The sequence below is a fragment of the Homo sapiens genome, chromosome 2 (assembly GCF_000001405.40).
Source record: "Homo sapiens chromosome 2, GRCh38.p14 Primary Assembly".
Taxonomy (NCBI): Eukaryota; Metazoa; Chordata; class Mammalia; order Primates; family Hominidae; genus Homo; species Homo sapiens.
The window spans coordinates 24,098,459-24,123,953 of NC_000002.12; the positions used below are offsets into that span (position 1 = coordinate 24,098,459).

The following is a 25,495-nucleotide window of genomic DNA, read 5'->3' on the forward strand; positions in this document are numbered from 1 at the left end:
AATCCCACAGAAATACAAACTACCATCAGAGAATACTATAAACACTTCTTTGCAAATAAACTAGAAAATCTAGAAGAAATGGATAAATTCCTGGAAACATACACCCACCCAAGACTAAACCAGGAAGAAGTTGAACCTCTGAATAGACCAATAACAGGCTCTGAAATTGAGGCAATAATTAATAGCCTACCAACCAAAAAAAGTCCAGGACCAGATAGATTCACAGCCAAATTCTACCAGAGGTACAAAGAGGAGCTGGTACCATTCCTTCTGAAACTATTCCAATCAATAGAAAAAGAGGGAATCCTCCCTAACTCATTTCATGAGGCCAACATCATCCTTATGCCAAAGCCTGGCAGAGACACAACAAAAAAAGAGAATTTTAGACCAATATCCCTGATGAACATCAATGCGAAAATCCTCAATAAAATACTGGCAAACCAAATCCAGCAGCACATCAAAAAGCTTATCAACCATGATCAAGTTGGCTTCATCCCTGGGATGCAAGGCTGGTTCAACATACACAAATCAATAAATGTAATTCATCACATAAAGAGAACCAATGACAAAAACCACATGATTATCTCAATAGATGCAGGAAAGGCCTTCAACAAAATTCAACAGTGCTTCATGCTAAAAACTCTCAATAAACTAAATATTCATGGAGTGTATCTCAAAATAATAAGAGCTATTTATGACAACCCCCAGCCAATATCATACTGAATGGGGAAAAACTGGAAGCATTCCCTTTGAAAACTGGCATAAGACAAGGATTCCACTCCTACGCAACATAGTGTTGGAAGTTCTGGCCAGGGCAATCAGGCAAGAGAAGGAAATAAAGGGTATTCAATCAGGAAATGAGGAAGTCAAATTGTCCCTGTTTGCAGATGACATGATTGTATATTTAGAAAACCCCATCGTCTCAGCCCAAAATCTCCTTAAGCTGATAAGCAACTTCAGCAAAGTCTCAGGATACAAAATCAGTGTGCAAAAATCACAAGCATTCCTATACGCCATTAACAGACAGAGAGCCAAATTATGAGTGAACTCCCAGTCACAATTGCTACAAAGAGAATAAAATACCTAGGAATCCAACTTACAAGGGATGTGAAGGACCTCTTCAAGGAGAACTACAAACCACTGCTCAACGAAATAAAAGAGGACACAAACAAATGGAAGAATATTTCATTCTCATGGATAGGAAGAATCAATATCATGAAAATGGCCACACTGCCCAAAGTATTTATAGATTCAATGCCATCCCCATCAAGCTACCAATGACTTTCTTCACAGAATTGGAAAAAACTACTTTAAAGATCATATGGAACCAAAAAAGAACCCCCCATTACCAAGACAATCCTAAGCAAAAAGAACAAAGCTGGAGGCATCAAGCTACCTGACTTCAAACTATACTACAAGGCTACAGTAACCAAAACAGCACGGTACTGGTACCAAAACAGATACATAGACCAATGGAACAGAAAAGAGGCCTCAGAAATAACACCACACATCTACAACCATCTGATCTTTGACAAACCTGACAAATACAAGCAATGGGGAAAGGATTCCCTATTTAATAAATGGTGCTGGGAAAACTGGCTAGCCATATGTAGAAAGCTGAGACTGGATCCCTTCCTTACACCTTATAAAAAATTAATTCAAGATGGATTAAAGACTTAAATGTTAGACCTAAAACCATAAAAACCCTAGAAGAAAACCTAGGCAATACCATTCAGGACGTAGGCATGGGCAAGGACTTCATGACTAAAACACCAAAAGCAATGGCAACAAAAGCCAAAATTGACAAAAGGGATCTAATTAAACGAAAGAGCTTCTGCATGGCAAAAGAAACTACCATCAGAGTGAACAGGCAACCTACAGAATGGGAGAAAATTTTTGCAATCTGCCCATCTGACAAAGGGCTAATATCCAGAATCTACAAATAACTCAAACAAATTTACAAGAAAAAAAATCCCATCAAAAAGTGGGTGAAGGATATGAACAGACACTTCTCAAAAGAAGACATCCATGCAGCCAACAGACACATGAAAAAATGCTCATCATCACTGGTCATCAGAGAAATGCAAATCAAAACCACAATGAGATACCATCTTGTGCCAGTTAAAATGGCAATCATTAAAAAGTCAGGAAACAACAGATGCTGGAGAGGATGTGGAGAAATAGGAATGCTTTTACACTGTTGGTGGGAGTGTAAATTAGTTCAACCATTGTGGAAGGCAGTGTGGCAATTCCTCAAGGATCTAGAACTAGAATTATCATTTGACCCAGCAATCCCATTACTGGGTATATACCCAAAGGATCATAAATCATGCTACTATAAAGACATATGCACACGTATGTTTATTGTGGCACTATTCACAATAGCAAAGACTTGGAACCAACCCAAATGTCCATCAATGATAGACTGGAATAAGAAAATGTGGCACATATACACCATGGAATACTATGCAGCCATAAAAAAGGATGAGTTCATGTCCTTTGCAGGGACATGGACGAAGGTGGAAACCATCATTCTCAGTAAGTTATCACAAGGACAGAAAACCAAATAGTGCATGTTTTCACTCATAGGTGGGAATTGTACAATGAGATCACTTGGACACAGGGTGGGGAACATCACACACCAGGGCCTGTTGGGGGGTTGGGGGCTGGTGGAGGGATAGCATTACAAGAAATACCTAATGTAAATGATGAGTTGATGGGTGCAGCAAACCAACATGGCACATGTATACCTATGTATCAAACCTGCACATTGTGTACATGTACCCTAGAACTTAAAGTATAATAATAAAAAAAGTTTTACAACCTTATTTTTCTTCTACTACTCATATTTTCATTCCACTGTTTTCATTGAATCATATTCTGCTATATTTTATGCTTTACTGATCATTCTTATCTGCAGGAAAAATATGTATGTAAATTGACATTAATTTAAAAAATTATTTTCTGTGACCACAGGGCTACTATAAGTGTTAAATTTCTTTTGGATTTATTATTATGATATTATTAGTCCACAATTGATCAAAACAATATGTATTATTTTAAATAATAATTATTAAACATAAAACGTAATTGGAAATATATTCTTAATGATGGTAGGGCTGAATTTTTCCCAACATTTATATATGTGGATGAATATTACTTATTGCTAGAATTGGACTGAGTTCGAAATTAGTTCTCTTCCTAGTTTTTATTATTTTATTTTATTTTTTTATTATTTTTTAAAGACGGGGTCTCGCACTTTCGCCCACGATGGAGTGCACTGGCGCGATCTCAGCTCACTGCAAGCTCCGCCTCCCAGATTCACGCCATTCTTCCACCTCAGCCTCTTGAGTAGCTGGGACTACAAGCGCTCACCACCATGCCTGGCTAATTTTTTGTATTTTTAGTAGATACCGGGTTTCACCGTGTTAGCCAGGATGGTCTCTATTTCTTGACTTTGTGATCTGCCCGCCTTGGCTTCCCAAAGCGCTGGGATTACAGGCGTGAGCTACCGCGCCCGGTCCCTATTTTTTATTTTTATAGACAAGCTCTGAGAAATCTAGTTTGCATAAATTAGATGGGAAAAAAATTTCATCATAGGAATGCCAGCCGATTCTTTGAATACCTCTGAATTATATAATAAAAACCATATAATGATCTATCATCAAAAGTTGTTTTCAATGCTCTATTAGCTGACAACTTAATTAGATCTTGCTTCAGTTTTGTTGAAAGTAAAGACTTGGAAACCACCCAATCTGTTACTCAGTCACAAGTGTCACTCAAGTTCTCAGTTTCTGGAATTATACCAGCAAAGCTTTCTGAAGACTTATCAAATGCTTATTAATTATATCTGCTATTTTTTCACTTAGAGGCACCTTGTTTCAATTGATATGCTCAGGAAAGATTCGGGAAGTAAAAATGTTAATTTTAATACATTTTTGCTAAATTTTTTGGATCAAATCCTTTTACCCTATCTCATGTTTTAAATGTATTTTCAGGCTGGGAGTGGTGGCTCACGCCTGTAATTCCAGCACTTTGGAAGCCCAAGGCAGGCGGATCAGCTGAGGTCAGGAATTTAAGACCAGTCTGGCTAACATGGCAAAACCCTGTCTCTATTAGAAGTACAAAAATTAGCTGGGTATGGTGGCAGGTGCCTGTAGTCCCAGCTACTCAGGAGGCTGAGGCAGGAGAATCGCTTGAACCCTGGAGGTGGAGGTTGCAGTGAGCTGAGATCATGCCATTGCACTCCAGCCTGGGCAACAGAGTGAGACTCTGTCTCAAAAAAGAAACCAAAAAACAAAATAAATGTATTTTCATTAACATATCGGAGCTGCAGACTTAACTCATTTATGGAAAACATCTGTGACATTCTTATTGGCAAAAGCAGTCCTCACTGTTAAACTAATCAGCCAAATCAAATTACTTTGTATCAGAAAAAGTTTCTCATTTTTTAATTCAATAATCATGTTAATATGTGCCTTGTAACAATCATTTTGCTTCTGAACCTTAAGAAATATAGATGGACAAGGCATGCAGCCCTCCTTTCCTGGATGAATTATGATACAAAAGTGTTCACTGTTTCTCACTGATACTTTTTTTGCTTTACTCTCATGGGACTCTCCTTCACATATGATGCATTTTTGAACAATGGAGGATGAAAGAAATCATGCAATTTAAAATATTTAGAATTTTCTCTTCCTTTGGCACCTTACAGTTCTTTTGCTCCAAGCCAGGCTCAAAGGCTCAAAGGGCTGTGTGAGCGTGAGCCCTTTTGTATACTGGGTGAAGGGAGGCTGGGGAGGGAGGCCAGAAAGTAGCTTTGACATCAGTCCTCAACTACAGCAGATCTTTTTCAGGAAAGTACGTATGGAAGTTGAGAACCTGGGAAAAAGGAACCCCTTAAATCCATTCATGCCTGTGTGCCCCTTCTAATGGCTTTGTGAACCATCAGGACATAAAGTTCTCTCATTTGGAGACCTCTGTTACAAAAGATTGCCTGCTCCCTGGGCACCTCCACAGGTGCTGTATAGCTACCACCAAAGGGTCACTTGTGTGGGTCTCTCTGCGTAGCTGGACCCAGTTGGAAGTTTGTAATGAGAATTATAGGAGGCAACTGGAATGCTCTACAGAGGAGGCTCCAGACAGTTATTGCCTTGAGGAAGTTTATGAAAAAGGCTCCCACTAGGCACCCAGCAATGCAGCGGGTGTGTTTAGGAAAGGCTGGCCGGCCAGGAGGTGAGCTGCCAAGAGGCTTCACCAGGCCTGCAGAACTTCAGAGAATCGCTATAGTCCAGGTCAGACTCCCTGCCTGTCGGTATGTGGAGCGCGGGTCTACAGCTCACAGAACTGAGTTCTCAAATCCAGGTATCAGTGTGCTAATTTGTAAGAAGAAATTATTGGCATGGGGGCTGAACCCCAAAATCTACAGGCAAATCTATGTGGAATGTCAAATGGTAAGCCAGGACTCAGGACAAGATGGGACGATTGAGATGAATTGGGGGTGGGGCCGAGATAGTGGACTAGAGGCAGCTCATGTGTGCTGCTGTTTTGGAGAAGAAACAAAAGGACTAGCAAACACTGAGCTGCAGGCCGATCATCTGAAAAACCACGTTGGGACCCATCAGGGCAGTAGAGGAACACAGAGTGCAGAAAGGAGTGAAGCCAGGCACCAGCTGTTTGGGCTCAGCATGGAGCCAGGAGAACCTCTCCAGCACAGGACAGGGTGAGTGAGTGAGAGCCCCCAGGGTGATTCATGCTCTCCACAGGGACCTGTGCAAGACTGGGAATAGGAGAATCCCACTGGGCCCCACACCCACCCATCGTGTTTCTAGACTGAGGCAGAGAGCCACTCAGACGTATTATAGGGCCAACTCTCGAGTCCAAGGGGACCTCTATAAGCCTTGGGCCCTGGGGCAGACCAGCCAGCGCCGAAGCCCCAGCAAAGGCTGCAGTTGCCATGCATGGGAGCAGTAAGGTTGCTCCACCCACCCATGCTGGGTAGGACTCAACACCAGCCTCTAGCCCAGTAGTCTCACTTCAGCCTGAACTCGGCCAGCCACTCCACCCACCCCCACCACTGGTAGCCAGGCGGGCAACACCTGCTAGAGCTTCCAGCCTAATAGCCCTGCTTCTGTGTGAACTCAGCTAGAGGGTGCAGCTTTCTGTTGTCCTGGGAAACACCCGAACAGCAGAGTAAGTGACTCTACCTACCCTGCCACTGGTAGCCAGTTGGGTAACAACTGCTAGAGCTCCTGGCCCAGCAGCTCTGCTTCTGTGTGGATTCAACTGGTGGGTGCAGCCTCCTGTTGTCATAGGAAGCACCCAAATGGCAAGGCACATGACCATACCCACCCTTGCCACTGACAGCCAGGTGGATAACACCTGCTAGAGCTTCTGGCCCAGCAGTCCTGCTTCTGTGTGAACTCAGCCAACAAATGCAGCCTTCTGTTGTCCCAGGAAGCACAGACACCAGAGAAGGCATTCCCACCAACACCAGCCACTGGTAGCCAGGCAAGCCACACCTGCCAGAGCTGGCCCAGTGGCTCTACTTCTACCTGAATTTGTCAAGGGACGCAGCCTCCTGTTGCACTGGAAACACCCAGACAGCAGGGCAGCCAACTGCATCCACCCACCCCCGCGTCCTGTAGCCAGATGGGCCACACCCAGTAGTTTCCAATCCAGTGGTCCTGATTCTGCCTGAACTCTGCAGGCAGGGACAACCTCGTGTTTCCCCAGGAAGCACACAGACAGCAGATTGGAGCTGACCTGGCAAGGTTACAGCTTGTCTGCCACCTGTGGCCCTTGCCTAAGGGAGCTCCATGGACCAGAACACCCCAAAAAAGAAATGCAAATAGGGAGACAGTAATTGGAAGGGGCTCCTCCAAGACCTAGGAGTGGACTAGAATTGAAAGCAGTTAACCAAACCCACCTTGGTTTGGTTTGCCCTGTAGTCAAACCCCCAAGGGCATCAAAGAAGAAAAAAGCAAAAACAAAAAATTTCATCCAAAGGACAGCAACTTCAAAGATTGAAGGAACATCAGCCTACACAAATGAGACAGAACTAGCACAAAAACTCTGGCAAATCAAAAAGCCAGAGTGTCTTCTTTCCTCCAAATGACCACACTAGTTCCCCAGCAAGGGTTCTTAACTGGGCTGGAATGACTGAAATGACAGAAATAGAATTCAGAATATGGATAGGAATGAAGATCATCAAGATTCAGGAGAATTCAAAACCCAATCCAAGGAAGCTAATAATCACAATAAAACAATACAGGAGCTGACAGATGAAATAGCCTCTATAAAAAAGAACCCAACTGATCTGATACAGCTGAAAAACACACTACAAGAATTGCACATTCTAACTGCAAGTATTAACAGCGGAATAGACCAAGCTGAGTAAAGAATCCCAGAGCTTGAAGACTAGCTCTCTGAAATAACCCATTCAGACAAGAATAAAGAAAAAAGAATAAAAAAGAGTGAACAAAACCTCAGAGAAATATGGGATTATGTAATGAGATCAAATCTATGACTCATGGGCATCCCTGAAAGAGACAGGGAGAAAGCAAGCAACTTGGAAAACATATTTTAGGATAATGTTCATGAAAATTTCCTGAAGCTTGTTAGAGAGGCCAACATTCAAATCCAGGAAATGCAGAGAACCCTGAGAGATATTACTCAAGACCATCCCCAAGACACATAATCGTCAGATTCTCCAAAGTTTACATGAAAGAAAAAATGTCAAAGGCAGCTAGAGAGAAAGGGCAGGTTACCTACAAAGGGAACTCCATCAGGCTAACAGCAGATCTTTCAACAGAAACCCTAAAAGCCAGAAGAGACTGGTGGCCTATATTCAGCATTCTTTTTTTTTTTTTTTTTTTTTTGAGACAGAGTTTTGCTCTGTTGCCCAGGCTGAGTGCAGTGGCATGATCTCAGCTCACTGCAACCTCTACCTCCTGGGTTCAAGTGATTCTTCTGTCTCAGCCTCCCAAGTAGCAGGGATTACAGGCACCCGCCACTATGACCAGCTAATTTTTGTATTTTTAGTAGAGACAGGGTTTTGCTGTGTTGGCCAGGCTGGTTTCAAACTCCTGACCTCAGGTGATCTGCCTGCCTCAGCCTCCCAAAGTGCTGGGATTACAGGTATGAGCCACCTTACCTGGCCTCATTTCATTCTTAAAGAAGAAAATTTCCAACTAAGAATTTCATATCTGGCCAAACTAAGCTTCATATGTGAAGGAGAAATAAGATGATTTTCCGACAAGCAAATGCTGAGGGGATTTTTTTTTTTCCACCAGATCTGCCTTATGAGCAGTCCTGAGAGGAGTAGCAAATATGGATGGGAAAGACCATGACTAGCCATTACAAAAACACACTTAAGTAGACAGACTAGTGACACTATAAATCAACCACACTAACAAGTCTGCATAATAACCAGCTAACATGATGACAGGATCAAATCTGCACATATCAATACTAACCTTGAATGTAAATCAGCTAAATACCTCAATCAAAAGGCACAGAGTGGCAAGCTGGATAAAAAAGCAAGACCCAATAGTATGCTGTCTTCAAGAGACCCATCTCACATGTAATGACATCTATAGGCTCAAAATAAAAGGATGGAGAAAAATCTACAAAGCAAACAGAAAACAGAAAAAAAGCAGGGGTTGCAATCATAATTTCAGACAAAATGGACTTTAACCTAACAAAGATAAAAAAAGATAAACAGGGCATTATATAATAGTAAAGGGTACAATTCAACAAGAAGACCTAACTATCCTAAATATATACACACTCAACACAGGAGCACCCAGATTCATAAAACAAGTTCTTAGAGACCTATGAAGAGATTTAGATTCCCACACAATAATAATGGGAGACTTCAACACCCCACTGACAGTATTAGACAGATCATTGAGGCAGAAAATTAACAAAGCTATTCAGGACCTGAACTGAACACTTGACCAAAGTAACCTGATAGACATCTACAGAGTGCTCCACCTAAAAACAACAGAATATACATTCTTCTTATCACCAAATGGCACATACTCCAAAATCAACCAGACAATCAGACATAAAACAATACTCAGCAAAATAAAAAAACCTGAAATCATACCAACCACATTCTCAGACCACAGTGCAATAAAAATAGAAATCAATACTAAGAAAATCATTGAAATCACACAATTACATGGAAATTAAACAACCTGCTCCAAAATGACTTTTGGGTAAATAACGAAATTAGGTCAGAAATAAAAAAATTCTTCCAAACTAATGAGAACAAAGATATGACATACAAGAATCTCTGGGACACAGCTAAGGCAGTGTTAATAGGGAAGTTTATAGCACTAAATGCCCACATGAAACAGACAGATCCCAAATTAACAACCTAATATTACAACTAGAAGACCTAGGAATGCATGAGCAAACCAACCCCAAAGCTATTGGAAGACAAGAAATAACCAAAATCAGAGCTGAACTAAAGGAAATTGAGACACAAAAACCATACAAAAGATCAACAAATCCAGAAATCGGTTCTTTGAAAGAAATTAATCAGATAGATAGATCACTAGCTAGACTAATAAAGAAAAAACGAGAGAAGATCCAAATAAATACAATTAGAAATTACAAAGAGGAGGTTACCACTGGCCCCACAGAAATACAAAACACCTTTAGAGACTACTTTGAATACCTCTATGCACACAAACTAGAAAATCTAGAAGTGGATAAATTCCTGGACACATACAGCTTCCTAAGACTGAACCAGGAATAAACTGAATCCCTGAACAGACCAATAATGAGTTCTGAAATTGAATTAGTAATAAAAAGCCCACCAACCAAAACAAACAAACAAACAAACAAAAAAGGTCCAGGACCAGAGGGATTCTCAGCCAAATTCTACCTGATGTATAAAGAAAAGCTGGTACCATTCCAACAGAAACTATTACAAAAAATTGAGGAGGAGGGACTCCTCCCCAACTCATTCTATGAGGCCAGCATCATTCTGATACCAAAACCTGTCAGAGACACAACAACAACAAAAATAAAAAGAAAAGAAAAATTCAGGCTGATATTTTTGATGAACATAGATGCACAAATTCTCAACAAAATGCTAGCAAACTGAATCCAACAGCACATGCAAAGTTGGTTTAACATATGCAAATTGGCCGGGCACAGTGGCTCATGCCTGTAATCCCAGCACTTTGGGAGGCCTAGACGGGCAGATCACGAGGTCATGAGATCGAGACCATCCTAGCTAACACGGTGAAACCCTGTCTCTACTAAAAATACAAAAAATTAGCTGGGTGTGGTGGTGGGTACCTGTAGTCCCAGCCACTTGGAAGGCTGAGGCAGGAGAATGGCATGAACCTGGGAGGCGGAGCTTGCAGTGAGCCGAGATTGCGCCACTGCATTCCAGCCTGGCTGACAGAGCAAGAGTCCGTCTCAAAAAAAAAAAAAAAAGAAAAAGCTATTTTGAAATTCATATGGAACCAAAAAAGAGCTCGAATAGCTAAGGCAACCCTAAGCAAAGCTGAAGGCATCACCTTACCCAACTTCAAACTATATACTACAGGGCTACAGTAACCAAAACAGCATGGTACTGGTACAAAAACAGACATATAGACCAATGGAACAGTAGAGAGAGCCCAGAAATAATGCCATACACCTATAACCATCTGATCTTCAACAAAGTTGACAAAAAAAAAGAGTAATGGCAAAAAAAAAAAAAAAAAGCAATGGAAAGTACTCCTTATTCAATAAATGGTGCTAGAATAAATGGCTAGCCACATGCAGAAGATTGAAATTTGACCCCTTCCTTACACCATATACAAAATCAACTCAAGATGGATTAAAGACTTATGTGTAAAAACTCAAACTATAAAAACACTGGAAGATAACCTAGGACATGCCATTCTGGACATAGGACTTGGTGAAGATTTCATAATGAAGACACCAAAAGCAATTGCAACGAAACAAAAATTGACAAATGGCATGTAATTAAATTAAAGAGCTTCTGCACAGCAAAAGAAACTATCAACAGAGTAAACAGACAACCTACTGAGAGAAAATATTTGCAAACTATACATCTGACAAAGGTCTAATATCCAGAATCTATAAGGAACTTAAACAAATTTACAAGCAAAAACAACCCCATCAAAAAGTGGGCAAAGAACATGAACAGACACTTTTCAAAAGAAGACATATATGCAGCCAAAAAGCATATGAAAAATGCTCAACATCACTAACCATTAGAGAAATGCAAATGAAAACTACAAGATACCATCTCACACCATTCAGAATGGCTATTATTAAAAAGTCAAAAAATAATAGATGTTGGCGAGGTTGTGGAGAAAAGAGAATGCTTATACAGTGCTGATGGGAGTGTAAATTAGTTCAGCCATTGTAGAAATAAGTGTGGCAACTCCTCAGTGAACTTAAAACAGAATTACCATTTGACCCAGCAATCCCATTACTGGGTATATACCCAAAAGAATATAAATCATTCTACCATAAAGATACATCCATGCATATGTCCACTGCAGCCTATTCACAATAGTAAAGACACATAATCAACCTAAATGCCTATCAATGGTAGACAGGATAAAGAAAATGTGGTATATATACATCATGGAATATTATGCAGCCATAAAAAGAATGAGATCATGTCCTTTGCAGCAACATGGATAGAGGTGGAGGCATTATCCTTAGCAAACTAAGACAGGGACAGAAAACCAAATACCACCTGTTCTCACTTGTAAGTGGGAGCTAAACAAGGAGAACACGTGGATACTAGGAGGGAAACAACAGACACTGGGGCCTGCTTGAGAGTGGAGGGTGGGAGGAGGGAGGGGATCAGAAAAAACACCTATCAGTCACCCATTTCTGGGATGGGGGATAGGTACTAGATAGCTTCAGGGCAGGGGCTGGTCACCAGAAGAACCAACCCTGTGATTAGAGGGCTGGAACTTTTAGCTTCATCTCCTGACTTCTGGGGAGGAAAAGTGAGTGGGGATTGAGTTCAATCATATAGCCGATGATTCAGTCAATTATGCCTACATAACAGAAGCCCATATAAAAACCCTGGAACAACAAGGTTTGGAGAGAGAGCTTCTGGGCTGGCGAACACCTCCATGTGCTGGGAGGCGCATGTGTCTGGAGAGGTGTGGAAGTTCTGTGCCCCCGCCCTATACATCTCCATTTGGCTATTCCTGACTTGCATCCTTTATAAGAAAACTGCAATCGTAAGTGCAGTGTAGCCTTTTCATGAGTTCTGTAGTCATTCCAGCAAATTATCATGAGTCATGGGACTCCCCCCCCAAATCTGTAGCCAGGTCAGACAGAAGTGTGGGTAGTGCGGGTAGCCTGGGGACCTGGAACTCGTGTTTGGCATCTGTAGTGGGGACAGGCTTGTGGGAACTGAGCTCCTTAACCTGTGAGGTCTACACTAACTCCAGTTAGCTAGTGTCAAATTGAATCGTAGGACACTTGGTCAAAGAATTATTGTTGGAAACTACCAGGGTACTTAAATTGTTTGCTCATAAACCCTCCCACTTTGAATGGGCCCAACCAACATTTACTCCAGTGACTCTTATCTGAGCTTCCTGGCTGATCTTTTTTTTTTTGAAACAGAGTCTCGCCGTGTCACCTAGGCTAGAATATAGTGGCATGATCATAGCTCAGTGTAACCTGAAACTCTTGGGCTCAAGCAACCCTTCTGCCTCAGCCTCCTGAGTAGTTGGGACTACAGGGGTGTGCCACCATGCCCAGCTATTTTTGCATTTTTTGTAGAGACAAGATCTTGCTATGTTGCCCAGGCTGATTTCGAACTCCTGGGCTCAGGCAATCCACCTGCTTTAGCCTCCCGAGTGCTGGGATTATAGGCATGAGCCACCGCACCTGGCCCCACTTCCATTTTTTTTGTGGTTACACATTCCTTCTACACACATATCAATATGTTCACATGTTCAAGTCTTGCAGGCTTGAGAGCCATTCTTTGCATATCTCTGCTCCTGTCCATTCTGTTTTGATGACACAGCCTAATTTTAGCCTGAAGTATTGATAGCTCAGTCTTTGTTTAGCTTTGGGCCTTGGCATCCCTGTCCTCTTTTGGAGTTGTGGCTAGAAGTCCTCAAATGCTTCCTGGCTTGTCGTGCAAACCTCACAAGTATCTTTATATTGTACATCTCTGGACTGCAGAGGTGTGACTGTCCAACATCACCATGATTTAGCACTAACTGGAATTTAAAGAGTAACCTGCTTCTCCAGTCTCTGACTCAGCTAGTTCAAATGTCTGCAGTATTTCCTCTCATCCTCACCCACTGGGACACTAAGACTGCTTCGGACTCACCCCACAAGCAGAGGGGGCTGATAAATTAGAGCTGAATTACATACAACTCCCATCTGCCAAAAAAAACCCCTCAACTGCATGTTACAAGCTATGGTGTAAAATTCCTTCCTTGTAAGAGACAAAACAAAAACTCCAGAGAGCCATAAACTTGCTCAAATTCTGACCCTGAAATTCCACTTCCAGACCTAAGGAAATAATCAGAGATACAAAGAATTATGTAAAAGTTCTAAACTGTAATATTACTTACAAAGTGAAAAAGTAGAAATAATCTAAATATCTAACAAAGAACAATATAATGTTTATATGATATGCAGCGATTTAAAATGTTTTTGAAGCAATTTAAAGACATTCAAGGTCTCATAGCATCATGCTAAATGAACATAGTGGAATGTCAACTCTATGCATTAAGGCTAGGTAAGGTTAAAATGTATATATTATGTGCATCAAAAGAGACCTGAAGAAAATCTCAAAACCATCACCAGAAGCTTTCATCTTTTTTTTTTTTTTTTTTTTTGAGGTGGAGTTTCGCTCTTGTCGCCCAGGGTAGAGTGCCGTGGCGCGATCTTGGCTCACTGCAACCTCCGCCTCCTGGGTTCAAGCGATTCTTGTGCCTCAGCCTCCTGAGTAGCTAGGATTACAGGCACCTGCTATGACGCCCAGCTCATTTTTGTATTTTTTAGTAGAGATGGGGTTTTGCCATGTTGGCCAGTCTGGTCTCAAACTCCTGACCTCAGCTGATCCGCCAGCCTCAGTCTCCCAAAGTGCTGGGATTATGGGCATGAGCCACCATGCCGGGCCCAGAAATTTTCACTTAATGTGAAATTATGACTAACTTATTTTCCCAAGTTATAAAAGTGAGTGTATATTACTTTTGTAATCCTAATTTAATAGTTTTCTAAAAGTACTGTCTACCCCACAGCACTGCTTGATGTCTTCTGAGTGACTCCAAGGAGAGTAGCCTTTTCTATTTTGGCTCTATCCATCTTCCCATTTTCATTGATCACTGTCTCCCACGTACTGCTTTCCAGCCACATGGAACCTCTCACCATTCTTTCCACACAACAGGCCTTTTCATCACTCTGTGCCTTGGCATTTGGTGCTCCTTCAGCCTGGAATACTCTTTACTCTCTTCCATACTCACTCTTCTTCCAAATGCACTTCAAATGCTAGTTTCAGGTTCCTGAAGACACAGTTAGTCTTCAGGACTGTGCTCTGTAGTTGTTTTACACCTGCTCCAGCATTTATCATGTGGTCATGTGACTCATTTACAACTTGCCTTCCCCACTAAATTGTGAGCCTGTCTTGGGGTAGATGTATTATTTACTGTTGTATCATTACTACCTAGCACAAAGCCGACTATGTGCTAGGTAGTGGTGATACAACAGTAAACAATACATCTAAATACACTTATTTAACGTTCTTATTACAAAGAATGCTAAATAAGTTAATTTAAAATTTACTGTTATCTCTTTTCAAAAAGAATCAAAGGCCAGATGCAGTGTCTCGCTCTTGTAATCTCAGCACTTTGGGAGGCCGAGGCAGAACGATTGCTTGAGCCCAGGAGTTCTAGACCAGCCTGTGCAACATGGTGAGACCCCATCTTTACAAAAAATTTAAAAATTAGCTGCACGTGGCATGTGCCTATAACCCTAGCTACTCGGGAGGCTGAAGTGGAAGCATCGCTTGAGCTTAGGAGATTGAGGCTGTAGTTAACTGTGATCACACCACTGCACTCCAGCCTGGGTTATGGAGTGAGACCCTGTTTCAAAACAAAAATAAAAACAAAAAACAGGCCGGGCACAGTGGCTGAGGCCTGTAATCCCACCACTTTGGGAGGCGGAGGCGGGTGGATCACCTGAGGTCAGGAGTTCGAGGCCAGCCTGACCAACATGGCAAAACCCCGTCTCTACTAAAAATACAAAAATTAGCTAGGTGTAGTAGTGGGTGCCTGTAATCCCAGCTACTTGGGGGGCTGAGGCAGGAGATTCACTTGAAACCTGGAGGTGGAGGTTGCAGTGAGCCGAGATTGCACCATTGCACGCCAGCCTGGGTGACAAGAGCAAAACTCTGTCTCAAAACAAACAACAACAACAAAACCCCCAAAAGAATCAAACTACTGACTAAATAATGGATGAACGGACTAGTGGCAAGGCTACCAATCAAAAACTAAAACAAAAACAAAAAAACAAATCTGTGGTACTTGGCCATCCAAGCTCAGAAAAGGAATGATGTTGGAAGTAAGTTCTGTGTAAGGCTATTATACAGAGCTGAAAATGAGATAATTTTGTAAATACCAGCAAAAGACATCCTGCCCTAGATGGCATGTCTTTGGAATTTTGAATTCTGTACCTCACTGCCTGATTACAACTATAAAGGACCTAAGATTTGATTTTACTTGACTTACAAAGGCTAGTAAGTTAGGGTTTGCCACAAGGAGATGCTGAATCTGGGGGACAAAAAGAACATGAAAGGGCTCCCGTTTCCCAATCTCCTGAGATCGAATGTGTTCCCTCTCCAGGTGCTAGGGTCTCCGTGGCCATGCAGTTGGTGTGTCCCATCCCAGTAGCCATGTCTATACTTTTTCTCCAATCGTGCCCTACTTGCTTCCAGACATCTTGTCTGGAAGGGTCAGATGTAAGAGGGACAGGGGCATTTTTGCAAAATTAAAGAGAACCATTATATCCTATCTTGGCCTGTGTAGAACCCTGTAGAGGGATCTAGAGAACAGTGTACTTAACTAAGTAGTCATTATCGTCATGATATAGGACCATGTTAGTCCAATCTAGCTGAACCAGAATTAAATTTGAATTCCCTAGGCTGTCTTTTTTTAAGTAGTCGAAGGTGGTCTCTCCCCAGGGACATCTGAAGGGTATACCAACCAGGCTGGCCTGAGGATGTTGTCAGGGAAAAAAAGATGCATCATGTTTAGCAATAGTCAGTGTAGAATCTTGAATTTTCAAAATAGGTTCTATAGCTCTCCACCCTTATGGTCCAGATTATCACCTAGGAGACCAAGAGGAGATGAACTCTTTCTGGGGAAGGGTGCATTTAGTGACCATACTGCCTTACTAAGGTGTGCAGTGAGAGTTAGGGTTAGAGTCAGAAATCTTTTTGAGTTGATTTTTGAGAAGGCCTTTCCAATGTTCAAAATGATACCAGATACCTGCAAATGGGAGTGTGAAATGTCCATTGAATACCTTGACTAGTGGTCCATTGTTGAATGGCCTTTGCAATCCCTTCTCCCAAGTCTCACCGGGGTGATGTGAGCCAGACAGATGTCACACATGCAGGGAGTTGTATTACAGGAGGGGTAACACTGAGCTCAGGGACTCCACTGCTTTTATAGCAAACAGTAAGCAAGCTTGCTCTCTGTCCTGATGGGAGACATCCCTTCATTTTTCAAGGTTGCTTGCTGCAACCTAACCCTGAGAAATGTCTTGGATAAAGAGTGGTGAGAGCCTTGCATTCTTGGCATACTTAGCAAGGTGTGTAGGAGTACAAGAGCCTCACAGAAAGGAGCCTCCCAATAGATATGCTCTGTGAAATGATCAGTGCTCTCTCATTCCATGCCGATGACCAACACTTATTAAAAAACAGTTGATCAAGTAATTCCAGTGAAAGAAGAGGATCTCTGGAAGTAATAAAAATTGCTCCCTTAATTCATTCTTCTTTTTTAGTGCCTTCTGTCTAGTGTTTTTTCAACCATAAAATATTTTTTCTTTAGGCTCTTCAATTTTCTTCTAAAATAATAAAATTGTCTTTCATGGGCCTCTGATGACTTAACTTCCTTTTTTTCTTAGGTAGTCTCCTGAAAGCAAACACAGCATGGTTATTATTTATGAGCTGCAAATTATCACTACAAATGATTCATTCATCCATTTATTATTCCACAAACATTGCCAGGTGACTGCCATGTGCTAGGCACTGTGCTAGGTACTGGAGAAACAAGGGTGACTGGATAGTTGAAACACAGTTCCTGCCCTCATGGAGTTCACTGTCTAGTAGGGGATATAGGCACACACAAACATCAATTCTATTTCATGGTAATAAGTGCCATAGTAGAGGTATTTGAGTTGTCCTGGAGTATGAATTGGGTTCCCATGCAAAAAAAAAAAAAAAAAAGGATGAATAATGCATATGGCTGGGCAAAGGGAACAGGGTGAGAGAGGGCTCAGGAGAATAAAAGAAACTGCTGCCCTCCTCTCCTATATGTATTCTATGACCTAGACTTAAAACTGATTACGGCCAAGTGTGGTGGCTCATATCTGTAATCCCAGCACTTTGGGAGGCCGAGGTGGGTTGATCATGAGGTCAGGAGATCGAGACCATCCTGGCTAACATGGTGAAAATTCATCTCTACTAAAAATACAAAAAATTAGCCAGGCATGGTGGCATGCTCCTGTAGTCCCAGCTACTTGGGAGGCTGAGGCAGGAGAATTGCTTGAACCCGGGAGGCAGAGGTTGCAATGAGCTGACATCCCACCACAGCACTCCAGCCTGAGCGACAGAGCGAAATTCTGTCTCCAAAACAAAACAAAACCTGATTACAGCACTTGATGTACTCACGTTTTAAAGATGGGGTCTCACTATGTTGCCCACACTGGGCTCAAACTCCTGGGCTCAGTTGATCCTCCTGCCTCAGCCTCTTGAGTAGCTAGGGCTACAGGTGCACTCCACCATGCCAGGTAGCACTTCATTTTTTTTTATACAGAGTCTTGCAGAATAAGTCACAACGTATGCTTAAGATTCTTTTTTCAACCTGAGGACCTGGCCGGGTGCAGTGGCTCACGCCTATAATCCCAGCACTTTGGGAGGCTGAGGCGGGCAGATCACTTGAAGTCAGGAGTTCGAGACCAGCCTGGCTAACATGGTGAAACCCCGTCTCTACTAAAAATACAAACATTAGCCTGTGTGGTGGCAGGCACCTGTAGTCCCAGCTACTTGGGAGGCTGAGGCAGGAGAATCTCTTGAACCTGGGAGGCTGAATCTTGAATCTCTTGAACCTGGAAGTTGCAGGGAGCCAATATCACACCACTGCACTTTAGCCTGGCTGATAGAATGAAACTGTGTCTCAAAAAAAAAAAAGAAAAAGAAAAACAGAAACACAAAATAAACAAAAAACAACTAAGGACCTAGAATTAAAGATGCTAACATTTTACCAATGTTACAAATGTGACTCTCTAATATATTTATTTTAAAAACAATCCTGCATTTTTTTTTTTTTTTTTTTGAGACAGAGTCTCGCTCTGTCATCCAGGCTGGAGTGCAGTGGCACGATCTCGGCTCACCGCAACCTCTGCCTCTCCGTTCAAGTGATTCTCCTGTTTCAGCCTCCCAAGTAGCTGGGATTACAGGTACCTACCACCACACCTGGTCTAATTTATGTATTTTTGGTAGAAATGGGGTTTCACCATGTTTTCCAGGCTGGTCTCAAACTCCTGTCGTCAAATGATCTACCCACCTTGGCCTCCCAAAGTGGTGGGATTACAGGCGTGAGCCACTGCACAAACCTGATTAATTTGTGTGACAGAAGTAGCATAGCATCCTTTTCCTGTCTATTTAAAGGTTTTCTTTAATTAATATTCATGCCCCTAGAATCTTTCATAATACAATTTTTAAATGGTCATAGTTCTTCTTCTTCTTTTTTTTTTTTTCTCGAGACAGAGTCTCGCTGTGACGCCCAGGCTGGAGTGCAATGGCGCTATTTTGGCTCACTGCAACCTCCACCTCCTGGGTTCAGGTGATTCTCCTGCCTCAGCCTCCTGAGCAGCAGGGATTACAGGTACCCACCACCACACCCAGCTAATTTTTGTATTTTTAGTAAAGACAGGATTTTGCCATGTTGGCCAGGCTGGTCCTGAACTCCTGACCTCAAGTGATACACCTGCCTCGGCCTCCCAAAGTGCTGAGATTACAGGTGTGAGCCACCCCATCTGGCCTGTAATTCTTTACTTCCCAAATTTTCTACAATGATCACGTATAATTTTTTAGATAGAGAAAAATATTTTTTTAAAAAGGAGTAAAGGAAACAAAAGTCAGTCATAAGACAACTGGCTCCTGAGTGGATATCAGCCTTGTCCATCCTTCCTGATCATACGACCATTTCCAAGATAGCTGTCCCTTCCCAGAGCAGTGGGATATTAATGGCGTGATGCCAGCAGTGCACTTCTAACCAGGGCACATTCTTTGGAGTCTGTGGAGTTTTTTGTGGCCCTAAGCAAGAATACTAACCTTTAGTGCCAGCCACATGACCTACATTACAGTAGTCAGGCAATTTATCTGGTCTCCTCTGGGGAATTAGCCCTGAGCCCTAGCTGACAGGGTAAGAGCCTGGCTTCCTGACAGCCAAATTGCCCATCTTTCTAATCTCATATTCTGGTTATTTTAATTAGATAATTAACCTGGCTCTCTATGTCTCTGTTCTGCTCTCTGCTCCTGCCCTACAATTCTGAAATGGAGCCTCCTTCAAATCCTGACATCTGTTCAGGAAGGGTCCAATAATGCAAAATGCAATAAAATGAGGCATATCTGTACATAGGTATATAGTTTCTGTGATAAACTTAATTTCTCAATTGGCCCTTTAAGATTCAGCTCTCTGGCGCCTTCCCTGACTCTGCTAGGCCGAAGTAATTCATTGATTTATTCATCAAACATGTACTAATTGCCTACCCAACATCAGACACTGTGTTAGGTAATGGAGAAAAAGAAGGATTAAGACAAGACAAATGCCTTCCAGGGATTCACAATCTAGATAAACAAAGAACTGTAATGGGGATAATCATAAAGGTATGCATAAAATACATACCACAATGGATAGAAGCCTGAGATCTGACTTGGTTCTTTAATGATGATTAGGAATTTGCAGAATAGATGTGAGGGACAGGAAGGAAACAGAAAATATTTTAGGCAGATAGAACAGCATGTACAGAGGCATGGAAGGCAGAAGCTATATCTTAACCAGCTCTGCTTCCCTAATTTATCTAGGATAGTGCAGGGCACATGGTAAGTACCTCTGAATGTTTGTTGAATGAATGAATGAATGAATGAGTGGCTGCTTTTGTTACTAGAGGCTTCTGTTTCAAAGGAGTGTTTATGCAACTCCAGTAAACTTTTTAAAATTTAAATTTAGATTTTGAAAAATCTAAACACAAACACAATTTACCATTTATTAAGCTCAACTCTCACCGATATAATACCCAAGCTAGTTCTCTATGAGATCTTTATTCAAAAATGTATAGACACGGAGGGGGAATGCAGTATATACCAACAAAGTGGCTGCCTGACTCACAGTAATTCCTTTTCCTGTAAAATGTCTCTTTATATAGGGTAGACCCCCAGCAGCCACATCTCTGCCTTTTTACCCTGCTGTCTCCCCCCTCCCCTATCCTGCCCCACCTACATAGCTGACTGATACAGGGGTAAACCATATGACCTGAAACTTGCCAAATCAGGGTCCTAAGAGAAATTAAGGGGTATTATGGGAGGCTTGGCCATGATATCAGCCAGGAAAGGAAACAGTTTGCTATGAGACAGAACAAAGCTGACTCATTTAGAAGTCAAGACAGAATCCTAGCAGTGTTCCAGTCCCTGAATCTACCTTCCCCATGGCTCAGCTGCACCCTGTCCTTCCAGTGGCTATGTAAATAACCTCAGCATCCTTCCAATAAATTCCTCCTTTCTGCCCTAGCTGGTTTGAGTTGGATCTCTGTTACTCGTAGTCGGAAGACCCAACTAACATAGGGAATGAAGACAGGAACTAGGAGGCCAACTTACCCAGGCTCTCTGTGGCTTCCACACAGATGCTAGGATACATGCCCTCAGTGTAAGTTGCTACCAGAAGATACAGATGGGTCTTCACGACAACCACACCAGTGTTCTCCTGTATAAAGAATATAAGAGAATATTCTGCTCTTGGTTCTAATCACAGGACCAGTGGTCATGCTCCAGCTACGTTTTTCACCATTTCCTGATTTCCATATGTTTGGAATATATATGGAATATACATATTCCGTATATATTTTCCATATGTTTATATATCTGTTTTTGGACTGTCCACTCTTTTCCACCAATTTAGTTGCCTTTCCTCAAAAAGTTTCAGACTGTTATAATAATGGTAGATGGATTTTGAAAAAGTTCTGCAATTGATTATCATATACCCCATCCCAATTAGAACAACTGATGTAGGCCGGGTGCAGTGGCTCCCGCCTGTAATCCCAGCACTTTGGGAGGCCAAGGCAGAAAGATCACCTGAGGTTGGAAGTTTGAGACCAGCCTGGCCAACATGGTGAAACCCCATCTCTACTAAAAATACAAAAATTAGCCAGGCGTGGTGGCAGGCGCCTGTAACCCCAGCTACTCGGTAAGCTGAGGCAGGAGAATCTCTTGAACCCAGGAGGTGGAGGTTGCAGTGAGCCGAGATCGTGCCATTGCACTCCAGCCTGGGCGACAAAAGTGAAACTCGTCTCAAAAAAAAAAACAACAACAAAACAAAACAAAACAAAACAAAACTGATGTAATGGAAAGGTCGTACATTTTGGAATTGGACAGCTCTGGGCTTGAATTCTAGTGCCTCCTTTTCTGCTGCATGAGTAAGGGTTATTTAACCTTGTTAAGCCTCAGTGTCCTCATCTGTAAAATGAGATTATTTAGTTTATAATGTGGATGAAGCAGCATGCCTAACCCATAATATAGGGCATCCAATGAATGATTTTCATCTCTTTCATTCCTTATAAGCAACAGAGAGCTGATTTTTTTTAAAATTTTTTTTTTGAGATGGAATTTCGCTCTTGTTGCCCAAGCCGGAGTGCAATGGCACGATCTCGGCTCACTGCAACCTCTGCCTTCTGGATTCAAGAAATTCTCCTGCCTCAGCCTCCCAAGTAGCTGGGATTACAAGGGCGCACCACACCTGGCTAATTTTCTTGTATTTTTAGTAGAAACAGGGTTTCACCATGTTAGCTAGGCTGGTCTTGAACTCCTGACCTCAGCCTCCCAAAGTGCTGGGATTACAGGTGTGAGCCACTGTGCCTGGCCACTGAGAAATGTTTTAAGCACAGAAATGATTATCTCTTTTTTTTTTTTTTTTAAAGGAGGATGTAGAGTATGAAGGTGGGACTGTATTGGAAAGAGTTCAGGCAAGGCTCAGTTAATAGATTCTGGAATGAACATTTCTCAAAACCAGGCTCTTGATAGGACTTTCTTTCACATATGTCTTCCTGGCACTAGACTGCTATCTCAAGACAATGGCTCAAGACATTAATGGATTTAATCTGTTTTACAGAAAGGATCAGGCAGAGCAAGGAAATTTGGAGGCAAATTCTTTTCTTTTACTCAGCTCTCTTCAAATCTTGAGCACTCACATTTTTGGCATAAAGAGAATATTCATCTGCCCGGACACATCTGTAATCTTTTCCCTTGAAATACAGTCCTTCTCTTCGGGCTTGCAAAGGGTTCTTGGCAAATCCATTCACCAGTGTTCGGACATCACTGGGCGTTACCTGGAGAGGTTACATGGTTAGAGCAGGAGTCAGCCAACTATGGCTGGTGGCCAGCCAAATTTAGCCCACTACCTGTTTTTTATGGCCTGCAAGCTAAGAATGGTTTTCATGTTTTTAAATGGTTGGGGAAAAAAAATCAAAAGAATAACACTTCGTGACACTTACAAATTATATGAAATTCAAACTTCAGTATCCATAAATATAAAATTTTATTGGAACACAGTCACATTCATTCTTTTATGTATGGCTGTTTTTCCTCTACAATTGCAGAGTTGAGTGGTTGTGACAGAGACTCTACGGCCCTGTGCTATAGTTTGAATCTCATGTTGAAATCTGATTCCCAGCGTTTTCGGTGGGGCCTAATGGGAGGTATTTGGATCATGAATAGACTGATGCCCTCCCTGCGAGCTGGGGGAAGCTGTGAGTTTTCACTGTATTTGTTCCAGGAGAGCTGGCTCTTAGAAAGAGCCTGGCACCTCTCCACTTGCTCTCTCTTGCTTCCTCTCCCCCACTGTGATCTCTGCACATGCTGGCTCCCCTTCACCTCTGCCATGAGTGGAAGCAGCCTGAGGCTTTCACAGATGACCAGTCTTCCAGGCAGTAGAACTGTGAGCCAAATAAACCTCTTTTCTTTATAAATTACCCAGCTTCAGGTATTCCTTTATATCAACAGTAAAAAGACTAAGCCTAGAAACCTAAAATATTTATGTAGCTCTTTACAGAAAAAGTTCATTTAAAAGTCATGTCTGGGCTGGGCACGGTGGCTCATGCCTGTAATCCCAGCACTTTGGGAGGCCGAGGCAGGTGGATCACCTGAGGTTAGGAGTTTGAGACTAGCCTGACCAACATGGTAAAACACCATCTCTACTAAAAATACAAAAATTAGCCGGGCCTGGTAGCGCACTCCTGTAATCCCAGCTACTCGGGAGGCTAAGGCTCAAGAATCGCTTGAGAGGCGGAGGTTGCAGTGAGCTGAGATCATGCCATTGCATCCCAGGCTAAGCAACAAGAGTGAAATTCCGTCTCAAAAAAAAAAAAAAGTCATGTCTGCTTCATTTTTTGGAAGAATAGAAATAATAAGTAAATCAAGTCTTAGGTCCAAACTTGTTTTTTCTTACATTGAAACCTGGTGATGCTACACACAAGCTCCGCTCCTGGATTTTGATGAGGGCTGCACTGTCCACATGCTTGGTTCCCAAGAGGGTGTCTAACAATAAGCTCTGCAAATGGCTCATGTTCCCTCAACTCTGAAAGGGAAAGTGCAGTTGAAGCCATTGACTCTGGCTAGCTTTTAAAAGGCATGTGAATACAAATGTCCTTAAGACACTGCAGACAGTTCTAAGATCAGCAAGTGTACTTTGAAAAGGTACAGGGTGAAAACGGTGGTCCATCATTCAGGGCCCACCAGTACCCAAAGAGGAAAACAGAATCATAGAAAAATCACAGCTCACACAGAATAGGTTATGAAGCTGAGTTTGGAAAATCACAGCCTGGTGATTTTCTGGCTATGTCAATGGTTTACATCAGGATTATCTGCGATTTAAAAACAAACATTACACACTGAGAAAAACTCTGTAAAATAAAAAATAAAAACAAAAAACAAAACCCAGCCAGGATGGAGAGCTACCCTGCTAAGTTAAACACGACTAAAAGAGATTATGCGTGGCCATAAACCCACACATTCCCTTCCCGGTGACCTGCATCAGCGCCAGCTATGAACGCTGATCAACATCCCAATGGACTAAAAACACCTTGAAGGCACTTAAACCCACATTTCCCGCACAAGTCCCCAAGCCTTGGACCCCCCTCATCAGGACCTCCGGCACAGGCGCCCGTTTCCCGCCACTGCCTTCCAGTGGTTTGGTCCCCGAGCAGGACCCAAGGCGGGGCAGGGGGTGGTGAGCGGTGAATTCCCTGGCACCGAGGACTCGAGGGAGCGGACGCCACCCCGCTCTGTGGTGCCCGCAAGGACCCGGCGACCAAGGACCCGACCGTCAACGGACGCGGTTGCGGGTGGGTGGCGGCGGCAGGATTGGCCGGGCCACGCGCCGGTCACCGAGAAGCAGCGACTCCAGCCCCTTCCGCAAACCAAGACCCGCCACCTAGAGCCGCCGCCCAATCCCCTTTGGGCCTGAAGCCGTCCTCCGCCGCCCCGGCACCGCCCGCGCGGACTCGCTGTGGAACCCGCGGCGCAGGGGGCGGAGTGCTCGCGCGGCGCTGCGTCCGGGAGACGGTGGGCGCCAACATTCGCGCGTTCCGCAGACGCGGGCGGGCTCCCTTCCAGCCGCAGTCGGACGGCTCCGGGGTCGTCGGGCCGGGCCCGAGTGTGTAGCAGGACGGCCGCGGGCCTGCTGGCCTTGGGAGGGCAGAGAGGTGCCTGTCGCGGCCGGCGACCTCCCCGCCAGGCCGGGCGGTCCCCGCGCACGACGCGCCTGCGCGGGAGGCCCCCGGCCCGGGGCTGGCGTGGAGGCCGCAGGCGCCCGGCCTAGTGGGTGGGAGGAAGGGCCGGGAGTGGGCGCGATGAGCGAGAGCGGGTGCGGACGCCTACGACATCCCCGTCGCACCCGTGCCTCGGGGAGGACTTCGAGCCGCTCAGAGCTCGAAGACTCGCGCAGTATGACCGAAAGCCCCTCCCTGCCTTCTCTAAGCAGCT

General features: G+C 43.2%; 2 protein-coding genes across 8 annotated transcripts in view, besides 2 other annotated features; one reads left to right on the forward strand and one right to left on the reverse strand.

The window, feature by feature from the left end:
• FAM228B (family with sequence similarity 228 member B) overlaps nucleotides 1-25,495 on the forward strand; it is a 92,806-nt gene that overhangs the window by 21,626 nt on the left and 45,685 nt on the right. Inside the window, exon 1 of one of the 3 annotated variants that reach the window (NM_001145710.2) lies at nucleotides 25,011-25,075. The exons of the other annotated variants lie outside the window; for them this stretch is intronic. The gene's annotated coding sequence lies outside the window, so the exon portion shown is untranslated. Of the gene's footprint in view, nucleotides 1-25,010; nucleotides 25,076-25,495 lie in introns of those variants that run through there. 3 annotated transcript variants of the gene reach the window in all.
• Nucleotides 6,451-6,510: an enhancer, noted in NCBI's record as "active region_15426". NCBI's record gives its function as "activates an Ori minimal core promoter by ATAC-STARR-seq in GM12878 lymphoblastoid cells {active_cell/tissue: GM12878}" and the evidence as "EXISTENCE:reporter gene assay evidence [ECO:0000049][PMID:35858748]".
• Nucleotides 16,351-25,033, reverse strand: PFN4 (profilin family member 4). Of its 5 annotated transcripts, none has more exons than XM_006712007.5 (6): nucleotides 24,945-25,033; nucleotides 24,294-24,375; nucleotides 23,961-24,089; nucleotides 22,705-22,842; nucleotides 21,119-21,224; nucleotides 16,351-17,153 (listed from the first exon to the last, which is right to left on the reverse strand). In XM_006712007.5, the coding sequence occupies exons 3-6, from the start codon at nucleotides 24,075-24,077 to the stop codon at nucleotides 17,125-17,127; spliced, it is 390 nt and encodes a 129-aa protein (XP_006712070.1). In that variant the 5' UTR covers nucleotides 24,078-24,089; nucleotides 24,294-24,375; nucleotides 24,945-25,033; the 3' UTR covers nucleotides 16,351-17,124. The 5 variants fall into 5 exon arrangements, with proteins under 5 accessions (XP_006712070.1, XP_047300182.1, XP_005264349.1 ...); XM_047444226.1 differs by lacking the exon at nucleotides 24,945-25,033 and adding an exon at nucleotides 24,835-24,876; XM_005264292.3 differs by lacking the exon at nucleotides 24,945-25,033 and adding an exon at nucleotides 24,660-24,876.
• Nucleotides 24,943-25,442: a silencer, noted in NCBI's record as "silent region_11228". NCBI's record gives its function as "represses an Ori minimal core promoter by ATAC-STARR-seq in GM12878 lymphoblastoid cells {active_cell/tissue: GM12878}" and the evidence as "EXISTENCE:reporter gene assay evidence [ECO:0000049][PMID:35858748]".

What these genes read in the sequence shown, in the direction of transcription:
- PFN4 (XM_006712007.5), bottom strand. Translation starts at nt 24,077, where the DNA reads ATGAGCCATTTGCAGAGCTTATTGTTAGACACCCTCTTGGGAACCAAG. An exon ending in ATTCTCTTTATGCCAAAAAT is followed by an intron (nt 21,225 to 22,704) that starts GTGAGTGCTCAA and finishes TTCTTTATACAG; the next exon opens with GAGAACACTGGTGTGGTTGT. An exon ending in GGAAGCCACAGAGAGCCTGG is followed by an intron (nt 17,154 to 21,118) that starts GTAAGTTGGCCT and finishes GTTTGCTTTCAG; the next exon opens with GAGACTACCTAAGAAAAAAA.